At 44.4% G+C, this 13,098-nt stretch overlaps 1 protein-coding gene and 1 long non-coding RNA gene across 3 annotated transcripts in view, besides 1 other annotated feature; both read right to left on the bottom strand.

The window, feature by feature from the left end:
- Nucleotides 1-13,098, bottom strand: part of RANBP2 (RAN binding protein 2) — a 1,122,820-nt gene that overhangs the window by 136,292 nt on the left and 973,430 nt on the right. The gene's annotated exons all lie outside the window — the stretch shown is intronic.
- Nucleotides 3,225-3,822: an enhancer, noted in NCBI's record as "H3K27ac-H3K4me1 hESC enhancer chr2:110459765-110460362 (GRCh37/hg19 assembly coordinates)". NCBI's record gives its function as "activates a minimal SCP1, AML or CMV promoter by ChIP-STARR-seq in naive H9 embryonic stem cells {active_cell/tissue: H9 hESC(naive)}" and the evidence as "EXISTENCE:reporter gene assay evidence [ECO:0000049][PMID:30033119]".
- On the bottom strand, nucleotides 4,454-11,524 carry LOC105373545 (uncharacterized). 2 transcript variants are annotated; one of them, XR_923175.2, is made up of 3 exons: nucleotides 11,485-11,524; nucleotides 10,492-10,700; nucleotides 4,454-4,908 (listed from the first exon to the last, which is right to left on the bottom strand). It is a non-coding gene; the product is annotated as an uncharacterized LOC105373545 (long non-coding RNA). The 2 variants fall into 2 exon arrangements; XR_001739112.1 differs by lacking the exon at nucleotides 4,454-4,908 and adding an exon at nucleotides 7,653-7,689.

The raw sequence follows: 13,098 nt of genomic DNA, 5'->3' as shown, positions 1-13,098 counted from the left end.
ATGACACCAAGCTTCTGGTCACTGGTTTGTCTCTGGAGCAACTAGGGATACCTTTACCTGCCCCATCTCTGGTAAAGGTGCAGGTGGAAACTGTTATTTTTTGTGGGGGGCTGAGATCAAGATTTCCACCTTAGAAGTTTGGATTTGAGATGTCCATTAGATAACCATTTCCTAAAACCTGGGTTGGCAGAGCTGTGGAGGCGGTGGCTCCATTCTTGTAAGAGTCCAAGAGCTCCTTGGGGACTGAGACCTGAACTCCCACCCCCAAGTTCGTATTTTGGAGTTCACTGCACTGAACCAGAATGGCTCTGCCTGAGGCCCAGGGATGGTTCTGCCTGAGTCCTGGCTCTGGAGTGGCTCCACACAACGCCCTGGGGCTCAGGCCCGGCCACAGAGCTTGAGCTGGATGGAACCTCATGGAACTATGACCTCATGGATGCACACAGGGACTGAGCCAGAGCAAGCTTTAACGCCACTCCTGAAGATGGTAAGAAAGCCACTAGGAAGCCCCATGCTATTTGCGTCTAACTAAGCATCTTCCTGCCTATCCACCCACCCTCGCTGCATATATTCCACTTTGGTTTTTTTGTTTTTTGTGTGTGTGTGACAGAGTTTTGCTCTTGTTGCCCAGGCTGGAGTGCAATGGTGTGATCTCAGCTCACTGAAATCTCCACTTCCCGGGTTCAAGCAATTCTACTGTCTCAGCCTTCCCGGGTAGCTGGGATTACAGACATGCACCACCACACCGAGCTAATTTTTATATTTTTAGTAGAGATGGGGTTTCTCCATATTGGTCAGGCTGGTCTAGAACTCCCGAACTCAGGGGATCCGCCCGCCTCAGCCTCCCAAAGTGGTGGGATTACAGGCATGAGCCACTGCACCTGGCCCCATTTTTATTTATTTATTTATTTATTTATTTATTTATTTATTTATTTTGAGAGGGAGTCTTGCCCTGTTGACCAGGCTGGAGTGCAATGGCCTCCATTTTGTTTTTAATTTGCCAATATCATTGGCCAAAAAGTGATTTCTCATTGCTTCATTTTGTAATTCCTAAAGGGGTTTGAGCATCCTGTACGATTCTGACTTACACTGAATTGCTGCTGTTTCTCTTATTGAGTCTTTGATGCTCTTTATACATGCCTGCTTTAATTTCTTTTTGAGATGAAGTTTCGTTCCTGTCACCCAGGCTGGAGTGCAATGGCACAATCTCGGCCCACTGCAACCTCCACCTCCCAGGTTCAAGTGATTCTTCTGCCTCAGCCTCCCGAGTAGCTGGGATTACAGGTGCCTGCCACCACGCCCAGCTAATTTTTGTATTTTTTAGTAGAGACGAGGTTTCGCCACGTTAGTCAGGCTGTTCTCGAACTCCTGACCTCAGGTGATCCACCTGCCTCGGCCTCCTAAAGTGCTGGGATTACAGGCCTGAGCCACCACGCCTGGCTTACTTTAATTTTTTAATTTTTATTTGTTATTTTTTTGAGACAGGGTCTCTCTCTGTTGCCCAGGCTGGAGTGCAGTGGTGTGATCATAGCTCACTGCAGCCTCAACCTCCCACCTCAGCCTTCCCAAGAAGCTGGGACCATAGGCGCGTGCCACCACACCCAGCTAAGGTTTTTAAATGTTTTGTAGAAATGAGGTTTTGCCGTGTTGCCCTGGCTGGTCTCAAACTCCTTGGCTCAAGTGATCCTTCCACCTCGGCCTCCCAGTGTTAGGATTACAGGCATGAGCCACCATGCCTGGCCCATGCTTTATTTTTTCCTTTCTAGAGCAGTTCTCTGTGCTGTGCAAAGCTCAGGGGGAAACAGGGAGCAGGTAAAGCTGCTGAGCAGCTCTGTTCAAGGCTCACTAAAAAGGGGTTTCTCAGCCCACTTCCAGATGTGGGGGAGGGATCATCTGACTGACCTGATAGTTTCAAGTTTCAACCCCAGGGCCAATAAAACTCTGGGCAGAGAGGTCATTTAATTTGACCCACCACCCTCAGCCTAGGTAGTCTCCCTCAGTGTGAGAAGTGATTGGCAGTGGGAGAAGTGATTGGCAGCTCCAGGCCATTTTACAGCACTGCTACTCATGGTGTCCACCAGTTCTCCATGACAAGAGCCAATTTACGCGGTGTGGACCTCATCAACAGGTAATTGACAACCTCCACTTTTGGGCAGAGGGAGGACGTTTGCAAAGTGGTGTTTTAGGAATATAATTCTGACAGTGTGTGTTAGATAAAAGGAGGAAGGCTCAGCTGGAAAAACAAACTACAAGGTGAAGTAAAATTAAAATACAGAAAATAGGCAGGGCGTGGTGGCTCACGCGTGTAATCCCAGTACTTTTGGAGGCCGAGGCGGGCGGATCACCTGAGGTCAGGAGTTTGAGACCAGCCTGACCAACATGGTGAAACCTCATCTCTACTAAAAATACAAAAATTAGTTGGGCGTGGTGGCACGTGCCTGTAATCCCAGCTACTCAGAAGGATGAGGCAGGAGAACTGCTTGAACCCAGGAGGCAGAGGTTGCAGTGAGCCGAGATAGTGCCATTGCACTCCAGCCTGGGCGACAGAGCGAGACTCCATCTCAAGAATAAATAAATAAAATACAGAAAATAAAAACGTGGTTTTTTAATTTATGCAGTGTCTGAGTGAATGTGAACATACCATGTTAGGCAACAGATGTGGCTCCAAAGACACAGTGCTATTCGATTAGAGTTGCACAACACAGCTCAGTGGCAGAATGCAATATAAAATGCTTGCAATTCAAAGCTCAGTGATTAATAACAACAGCGGGCGAATCTCAGTGCTTGGTAAATGCCTGGGAGCCCAGCAGTTTCCTGTCCAGCCAATTATTTTAAACATTTGGACCTTAATTAGTGCTAATGTTGTTTGGTTAATATGTATTTATTTTTCCTATTACTTTAGCTCTGAAGTGGTTATTTTTTGTTAATTCGGAAACCCTGTAACTCAGAATGACAAATCTTTTTGAACATTCCTCTCCTAGCCCCCACCCCCAAATTTGATGGTCCTTGTTTGCTATTTTTGTAATATAATTATCATGCTATTATGAGGTTAGGATGTAGGGTGTGGGTTGGGATTCAGTGAGACATACTCATACCGGAGCTGAGGTCTGGGAATGAACAGGTCATCATCACCTAAGCAGCCCCACCTCTGTTTCCAGGAAAAACCAATATACCTATGACGTAGTTGCAATTAAAAAAAAAAAAAGACTGATTCAGAACCCAAAGAATGCGGCTGTGAGAAGGAAAGATGTGGGGAAATAAACTGGCTGTGACCGTCAGCCTAGCACTTTCAAAACTCCCATCAATACAAACCCTCCGATGTTGCAGAGGACAGGAAGTACAGAAAGCTAAGGTCAGAATAGAAGGAACGCTCCAAAATAAATTCTCTCTGAGTACAAGGGTATGTCTTACTGTGTGGTTGGTGGTTTGTTATCCCTTTGTGGAGTACAGAAGGTAGACAGGGTGGTGCCCAGACCATGTCTGCACAATCAGGTGACATGGAACACGCTCTGGCTTGCTGCAGGACGCCTTCAGACCAGAGTTCAGGTGGTGGGTGGCAGGTCAGCCATGGAACATAGGTTGGACAGAAGATGTACGAATGCAAAGCAGTGACTAAGCATGAGCCACTGATCCCAACCTGACACAAGCAATGGTATGGGCAGAGTTTGGTTTTGTAGTCTCTTCATCTCCTCTTTCTGATCTCCTGCTTTAATGCCCTCTACCACTGGGGTTTTTTAACCCTCCAAGTTTGTTCTCTCTAGAGGGCTTTCCACATCCCAAGTTCCACTCTTTTCCCATTCCTCCATGGCCTGGTCTCTGTCACTGTCATGAGGACTGGAAGCTAACACACCAAGTCACACTCACGTGGGGCTGCTGGGTGGCCAGCTTGCCACATCCCATGCCACTGCCTGGAGGCACCACACAGAGGGACTCCTGGCATTGAGGCAAACACATGGCAGCAGTATTTCAGAAGACCACTCTTCTGGGGATCCCTCAGGTCAAACCATGTAGGTAGGTGATTGTTTACTGTACCTCAGCAGAATTTAAAGGGATTCAAAGGTGTGTGGTGAAACAGCACACAAGTATAGTCACTAAGGAGACAAAAGAATCAGAAGCTCAGGGACTGACTGGCCTTTGTGGTTCCTAAAGGAGAAACTTTTACTCAAGTAAAGGTTGTGAAAGGAAAATAAATCTCAGGACCCCAAAGTCACTAAGCCAAGAGAAAAGTCAAGCTGGGAACTATGTCAGGAAAACCTGCCTCCGTTTTATTCCTGAGTAAGATAGCTACAAAGATACCTCCCTCACAATTTGCCCACAGGAAATTCCTTGTGGACAAAGAGCGGACAGAACTCTAGAAGTCATCCCTTTAAGGCTCACCCGAGACACATGCGTATCTGATTGCTTCTTCTGCCCTATTGTTTATGTAAAAATGCAGATTCACTGAGCCAGACTAAATTGCGTATTCAGTGGAAGGCTGATCAAGGACTCAAAGGAATGCAACCTTTTGTCTCTTGTCTACTTCTGACCTGGAGGCCCCCCACTTCCTGACTTACCAGGCCAAACCACTGTACAGCTTACACATACTGATTGATGTCTCATGTATCTCTAAAACGTATAAAAGCAAACTGTACCCCCGACCACCTTGGGCACATCCTGAGGCCATATCACAGGCACGTCCCCAACCCTGGCAAAATAAACTTTCTAAATTGACTGAGACCTGTCTTAGATATTCTGGGTTAACAAGGTTCGAAGGGAAAATCCCTATGAGAGAAAATAATGTGTTTTTTTCCGACTTGCCTTTTATGAAGAAACTGCCCCCAGTTGCAGCAGGAGCTCCTCATGGGGTTTGGGCTCGTGTGCTTGCATGCTGCCTCTGCACAAGGGGACAGATCTTCCCAGTCTCTCCTTCTGTAAAGCAAGCGGCAAGGCTGAGCCTGGAGCCCATCTCCTGTGAACGCGTCTCCTGCATCTTCAGCTCCACTGCTTTCCCTCAGCCACAAGAGGCTGTGAGGCTGAACCTCCCTCCTTTGTAGTTTCTAAAGTTTGTGTCATTCACAAACGCTCTTTTGCCCTTGCCTTTCCCTAAACTCCCCGCTTTCCTCCCACATCACCTTCCCACCTGTTGCTAGGCCATGTCCTTCGGGGGAGAAGTCACCACATCAGCCCTCTAATGACATTGACTCCTCGGATCTGTTGAGTCTTTCCTTATCTTCTCTGCTTGCCATGTCTTCATTAGAAGTTTTGTGTTTGCACGAGCTCCACAAGGTTTACCAGCATCTCCCATAAGACTGCCAAGTATTCACATTTGTTTGCAAATGTGAAAGGAAAATATCTTGGACCCCCAAAATCACTAAGCTAAAAGGAAAATTCAAGCTGAGGACTGCTTAGGGAAAACCTGCCTCCCGTTCTATTCAAAGTTATCCCTCTGCTCACTGATATAAATGCATATCTGATTGCCTCCTTTGGAAAGGCTAATCAGACACTCAAAAGAATGCAACTGTTTTGTCTATCTGTGACCTGGAAGCGCCCTCCCCGCTTCCTTCCAGTCCTCCTGCCTTCGCTTGCAGTTGTCCACATTTCCAGACCGAACCAATCTACTTCTTATATATATCGATGTCTCACATCTCCCTAAAATGTATAAAATCAAGCTGTGCCCCAACCACCTTAGGTACGTCATCAGGACTTCCTGAGGCTGTATCACAGGCGCACATTCTCGACCTTGGCAAAATAAAACTTTCTAAATTAACTGAGACCTGTCTCAGATTTTCTGGGTCCACACAAGTATGATCATTAATGTTTTTACTCTGACCTTGAATGTATTTGAAAACATTCCGGACACTACACACTACTTAACTATAAATGGACTTAAGATTTCTTTTTGGCAAGAACTTTTTAAATGGGGAGAACAATATCAAAGTAACAATTAAAAAATTATCCAGAATGTCAGCCTCCACCCATGGAAGATAATCTGCTACAGGAACTATCTTCCTGCCATAAAAACTTAAACAAAATAAATGAGTGCTATTTTCAGAGACTGAGCAACAGGCAGTGCAAGGAAGCAAAGGAAGCAAATCCTGAGAGAAGAGAAACAAACCAGATAAGCCCTATGATTGCCTTGGCTTACTTCCTGGAGGCGAAGTCTGGGCTGCAGCACAGGGCGAGAAGCTGAAGAGCCCTCCCCTCCGCTGGTCCCCAACCGAGGTCTCACTGAGCCGAGAAGCTGAGAGAAAATCACTGCACAGCTAACAGTTGACCCCTGAACAATATGGGTTTGAGCTGTGCATGCCACATATACAAGGATTTTCTTCGGCCTCTGCCACCCTTGAGACAACGCAACCAACCCCTCCTCCTCCTCCTTCTCAGCCTATGTAATGTGAAGATAATGAGGATGAAGACCTTTATGATGATCTGCTTCCGCTTAATAAATAATAAATATATTTTCTCTTCCTTATGATTTTCTTAGAACACTCTTTTCTCTAGCTTACTCTATTGTGAGACTACAGTATAAAACACATATGACACACCAAATATGCATTAACTGACTGTTCTGGTCATTGGTAAGGCTTTTGGTCAATAACAGGCTACACTAGTTAAGTTTGGAGGAAATCAAAAGTTATATGTGGATTTTTGACTGCACAGGGAGGCGGGTGGGGGTCAGTCCCCCTAGCCCCCGCATTGTTCACGAGTCAACTGTAGAATGAAGAGGCCAAGACAACTAGAATACACAGAGCAGAGTACTAAAGAAAATGCGCAAAGAAAGGGCGTTTGGAGCTCTGCAGAGGCGTGCCCTTGATCCTTTGAGAACTGACTAGTGCATGCATGGAATGACATTCCACAGGCATGAGAAAGAATCGCCAGAGAGCAGTAGGTGACAAGACTGCCAGAACCCACATAGGCAGGTAAGCAGGCTTCACAACCTGGGACAGAGTCCTCAGAAGAGGCACACCTTACAACTGGGGTTAAAGTGGCTCTAGAACAAAGGCCGCCTTACACCCACTCAAACAAACCTCTCCAACCAACCCACAAAAATATCTGCAGGGAATTTAACTGCTTGCCAAACAAAGTACAATGCTCTTTCTTTCTTTTTGAGACGGAGTCTCACTGTGTTGCCCAGGCTGGCGCAATCTTGGCTCACTGCAACCTCTGCCTCCCGGGTTCAAGAGATTCTCCAGCCTCAGCCTCAGCCTCCCAAGTAGCTGGGACTACAAGTGCGTGCCACCACGCCCAGCTAATTAATGCTCTTTAAAAGAATGCAAAAAAACTCCAGCATGTAACAATGTAAAATTCACAAATACAGCAACTAAATTTAAAAAAAAAAAAGCTGTCATGCAAAGAAGGTAAAAATTGTGACCCACAACTAGGAGGAAAATCTCAATTAATACAAACACATCAAGAATTGACAGAGATGATGGAATGAGCATACAAGAACCTTAAAATGGGTAACTCTAAATATTATAAATATATTCAGGAGCTATAGAAAAACATTATAAGTAGAAAAATACAATTTTTATTTTTATTTATTTATTTATGTATTTTTTTTTTCTGAAATGGGGTCTCACTCTGTCGTCCAGGCTGGAGTGCAGTGGCGCGATCTCAGCTCACTGCAACCTCCACCTCCCAGTTTCAAGTGATTCTCCTGCCTCAGCCTCCTGAGTAGCTGGGACTACAGGCTCATGCCACCACACCTGGCTAAGAGAAATGAAATGTTTAAATTTAAAAGACTTAAGTGGACCATTTGATACAGTGTCTAAAATGAACAAATACACTAGATGAGATTAACAGCAGATTAAACACTGCAAAAAAAAAACTGGGTTAATTTATAGACACAGCAATAGATCTAAAGTGAAGCACAGGCTGGGTGCAGTGGCTCATGACTGTAATCCCAGCACAAGGAGGCTGAGGCAGGTGGATCACCTGAGGTCAGGAGTTTGAGACCAGCCTGGCCAACATAGCAAAACCCTGTCTCTACTAAAAATACAAAAATTAGCTGGGCATGGTGGCACATGCCTGTAATCCCAGCTACTTGGGAGGCTGAGGCAGGAGAATCACTTGAACCTGGGAGGCGGAGGTCGCAGTGAGCCGAGATTGCGCCACTGCACTCCAGCCCGGATGACAGAGTGAGAGTCCATCTCAAAAAAAAAAAAAAAAAAACTTTAGACTAACATCATAATAATGAAAGAATAAATGCTTTCCTCCTAAGATAATGAATAAGGGAAGGATGTTTTCTCTCACCACTTCTAATTAACATTTTACTGGAGGTCCTACCTAGTACAATAAAGCAAAACAAAGAAACAAAAGGTAAACAGATCAGAAAGAAGAAATAAATACCCTAATTTGCAGATGGCATGATTGTCTATATAAACCATTCCAAAGAAGTTACAAAAAAGATACTTAAACTTTTGAATTTTGCAAAATGACAGGATACAAAATATTTATGCAAAAATCTATTGTAGTTCTATATACTAGCAGCTAACTTTTGGAATTTTAAATTCAGGGGAAAAAAGCCTCTTTTTTTTTTTTTTTTAAGACAGAGTTTTGCTCTTATTGCCCAGGCTGGGGTGCAATGGCACAATCTTGGCTCACCGCAACCTCTGCCTCCCAGGTTCAAGCAATTCTCCTGCCTCAGCCTGCCAAGTAGCTGGGATTACAGGCATGTGCCACCATGCTAATTTTTGTATTTTTAGTAGAGACAGGGTTTCTCCATGTTGGTCAGGCTGGTCTCGAACTCCCAACCTCAGGTGATCTGCCCACCTCGGCCTCCCACAGTGCTGGGATTACAGGCATGAGCTACTGCGCCCAGCCAAAGAAATGCCTTTTATATTAGCATACACAAATATGAAATGCCTAGGGATAAATCAAACAAAAGAAGTGCAAACCTGTACATTGAAAACTTCAAGACACTGAGAGAAACTTTTTTTTAATTTACATAAATGGGCAAGTGTGGTGGCTCACACCTATAACCCCAGTACTTTGGAAGGCCAAGGCAGGAGGATTGCTTGAGTCCAGGACTTCCGGACCAGCCTGGACAACATAATAAGATCCTGTCTCTACAAAAAATTTAAAAATTAGCTGGGCATGGTGGTGCGCACCTGTGGTCTCAGCTACTCAGGAGACTGAGGTAGGAGGATCACTTGAGCCCAGGAGTTTGAGGTTGCAGTGAGCTGTGATCATGCCACTGTACTCCAGCCTGAGTGACAGAGTGAGACCCTGTCTCAAAAAAAAAGATTTATATAAATGGAGAGGTGTACCATGTTCATGAATTACAATACTCGCTACTGTTAATATGTCAATTCTCCCCAGTTGGTATATAGATTTAATACAATTCCGATAAAATCTCAGCAGGTTTTTTTAAACTTAAGCTTGCATGAAAATGTAAAATACCTAAAATAGCCAAACCAAGTTTGAAAAAGAACAATGGTTGGAGGAATTATACTAACCAATTTTAAGACCAAGAAGCTAAGGTTGTCAAGACTTTAGGAATGGCATTAGAGTAGGCATGTAAATCAACGGAACAGAACAGATTCCAGAAATGAACCCACATATTTCATCTCTGACAATTATGCCAAGGTGACACAATAGGCAAAATATAGTCTTTTCAACAAATGGTGATGAAATAATCAGATATCCATAAGGAATCTTATTTCACATATATACAAAAAGTAATTTGAAATAGATCATAGACCTAAATATCAGATATAAAACTATATAATTTCTGAAGAAAATCTGGGAGAAAGTCTTTATTATCTTGGTTGGGCATGGTGGCTCATGCCTGTAATCCCAGGACAGTGGGAGGCTGAGGCAGGCAGATCACGAGGTCAGGAGTTTGAGACCAGCCAGGCCAACATGGTGAAACCCCATCTCTACTAACAATACAAAAAATTAGCCAGGCATGGTGGCAGGTGCCTGTAATCGCAGCTACTTGGGAGGCTGAGGCAGGAGAATCACTTGAACCCGGGAGGTGGAGGTTGCAGTGAGCTGAGACCAGGCCACTGCACTGTGGCCTGGGCAATAGAGTGAGACTCTATCTCAAAAAAAAAGAAAAAGTGAGAGAGGAGGAGGGGAAGAGAGGGAAGAGAAAAGAAAAGGAGCTGAAGGAGAAGGAAGAGAAGTTCCCCCCAAATCCTGTCCTCCCTAACTAAAGTGCTGAGAAAACTGTGGCCTAACAACAAAAAAAACCTTTTTGGCAAATTCTACCACACTCCAGCTAAAAGTTAATGGAAAAACTGCCCCCAGCAGTTTTAGCAAAACTGAGTAAGAAGCTGGTCTTTCCCCCTATACCTCTGTCCCATGGAAGCAGGTGCCAGTGCTCCAATTTCTCCGTGTAGTGGTGTCAGCAAAGCTGAGCAAAGATTTGATAGCTGAAGCAAAAATCATTAATTTCTATCTATCTCCTATCTGATAGAAGCAGGTGATACCCCGATTTTCCCACCAAGGTAGTATCAGTGGGGTCCAGCATCAATCAAGCTGAACCACCAGCCCCACCGGTAGCACCTGCTGGTTCCATGTTTGCTGAGATGGTGTTGACAGGACCCATGGGAAGCAGAATTCACAATCATAAGCTTTCATGCTGCATCTCAGCAGGGACTACTGGGTAAACACAAGGAGATTGCAGAGGATCCAGAGTCTCAAAATTAGTATCCAAAATATCCAGGGTAGAGTTGAAAATTATTCATCAAACCAAGAAGCAGGAAAATCACAACCTGAATGAGAAAAGTCAATAGACATTAACACCAAGATGAATCTCATGTTGGAATTATCTGGAAGGGTTTTAAAGCAGCCAATATAGAAATGTTTCAACAAGCAATTAAGAATTCCCTTAAGCAAAAAGAAAAAAAAATTCTTTGCAAAGAAAGAGAGGTTATAAAAAGGATTCAAATGGAAATGATGGAACAAGAAAATAGAAGAAATGAAATTTTAAAACTCTCTGAGTGGGCTCAATAGTATAATGGAAATGAGAGGAGATAGAATCAGAGATCCTGAGAACAAATCAGTAGAATTTACCCCATCTGAGCAATGGAGAAAACAGACTGGGAAAGAGGTGGAACAGGAACCCATATGACAATAACAAAAGAGCTAATATTTCTACTGGGGAGTCATAGAAGGAAACCGAGAGTGGGACTGAAAAGTCTTTGAAGAAATAATGGCCAAAAACTTCCCAAATCTGGAGATACACACACACACACACACACACACACACACACACACACATCCCTATGGATATATACATACAGATTGAGTATCCCTAATTAGAAAATCCCAAATCCAAAATGCTCCAAAATCCAAAACTTTTTGAATGCCAACATGATGCTGAAAGGAAATGCTCATTGGAGCTCTTCACATTTCGGATTTTCAGATTAGGAAAATCTGAAAATTTCCTCAGTTACTTCTTTATAGCAATGTGAGAACAGCCTATTATACCTTATTTGAAAAGCCTGGGACCACAAGTGTTGTTTTGGGATTTTGGAATATTTGCATTATGCTTACCAGTTCAGGCAGGAGAATCGCTTGAACCTGGGAGGTAGAGGTTGCAGTGAGCCGAGATTGTGCCACTGCATTCCAGCCTGATGACAGAGTGAGATTCCATCTCAAAAAAAAAAAAAAAAGAGGTTTAGTTGGCTCACAGCTCTGCAGGCTGTAGAGGAACCATAGCAGGCTTCTGATTTTGGGGAGGGCTCAGGAAGCTTCCAGTCATGGCAGAAGGCAAAGAAGAAGCTTACCTGTCACACTGCCAGAGCAGGAGCAAAGAGAGTGAAGGGGGAGGTGCCACACACTTTTAAACAAGCATAGTGAGAACTCACTATCCTGAGGAAATTACCAAGGGGATAGTGCCAAGCCATTCATGAGAAATCCACCCCCATGATCCAATCTCCTCCCACCAGGCCCCACCTCCAACATTGGGGATTACAATTCAACATGAGATTTGGTGGGGACACAGACCCAAACCACATTATAAGAGATACTCAATGTTTGTAGACACACACATGCACACACACAGGCATACCTCATTTCGTTTTGCTTTGCTTTACTGCACTTTGCAGCTATTACATTTTTTACAAATTAAAGGTTTGTGACAACCCTGCTGTGGACCCTGAATATCTGAGACAGGTCTCAGTTATTTTGCCAAGGTTGAAGATGGGCACCCATGACACAGCCTCAGGAGGTCTTAAAGACATGTGCCCAAGGTGGTCAGAACACAGTTTGGTTTTATAAATTTTAGGGAGACATGAGACATCAATCAACATATTTAATATGAACATTGGTATATTACTCTGCTTTCGTGCTGCCGATAAAGACATACCTGACATGGGTAATTTATAAACCAAAAGAGGTTTAATGAACTCACATTTCCACATGGCTGAAGAGGCCTCACAATCATGGCAGAAGGTGAAAGTCACGTCTTACGTGGTGGCAGGCAAGAGAGAGAAATAAGAGTCAAGTGAAAGGGGAAACCCCTTATAAAATCATCAGATGTTGTGAGACTTACTCACTACCACGAGAACAGTATGGGGGAAACCACCCCATGATTCAATTATCTGCCACCAGGAGTTGTGGGCCGGGTGTGGTGGCTCACACCTGTAATACCAGCACTTTGGGAGGCCGAAGCGGGTGGATCACTTGAGGCCAGCCTGGCCACACAGTGAAACCCCGTCTCTACTAAAAATAGAAAAAAACAGCTGGGCATGGTGGCACACACTTGCAATCCCAGCTTACTCGGGAGGGTGAGGCATAAGAATCACTTGAACCCAGGAGGTTGCAGTGAACTGAGATCGTGCCACTGCACTCCAGCCTGGGCGATAGAGTGAGATTCCCTCTCAAAAAATAAAAAAATAAAAATAAGGGGTTGTGGAGACCAAGATTTTATCAAGCAGATAAAGCCTTCAGGTAGCAGGCTTCAGAGAGAATAGACTGCAAATGTTTCTTATCAGACTTAAAGAGTCTGCTCTAGCAGTCTTAAGGTCTCTGTGTTGATGTTAATGCTGGTAAGCTGTGCCTGAATTCCAAAAGGGCAGACGGTATAATGAGATATGTCTGACACCGTGGCGGGTGCCTGTAATCCCAGCTACTCAGGAGGCTGAGGCACGAGAATCGCTTGAACCC

Source organism: Homo sapiens, chromosome 2, assembly GCF_000001405.40.
Source record: "Homo sapiens chromosome 2, GRCh38.p14 Primary Assembly".
In the NCBI taxonomy this organism is placed as follows: domain Eukaryota; kingdom Metazoa; phylum Chordata; class Mammalia; order Primates; family Hominidae; genus Homo; species Homo sapiens.
This window is presented reverse-complemented; position numbering and strand designations above follow the sequence as displayed.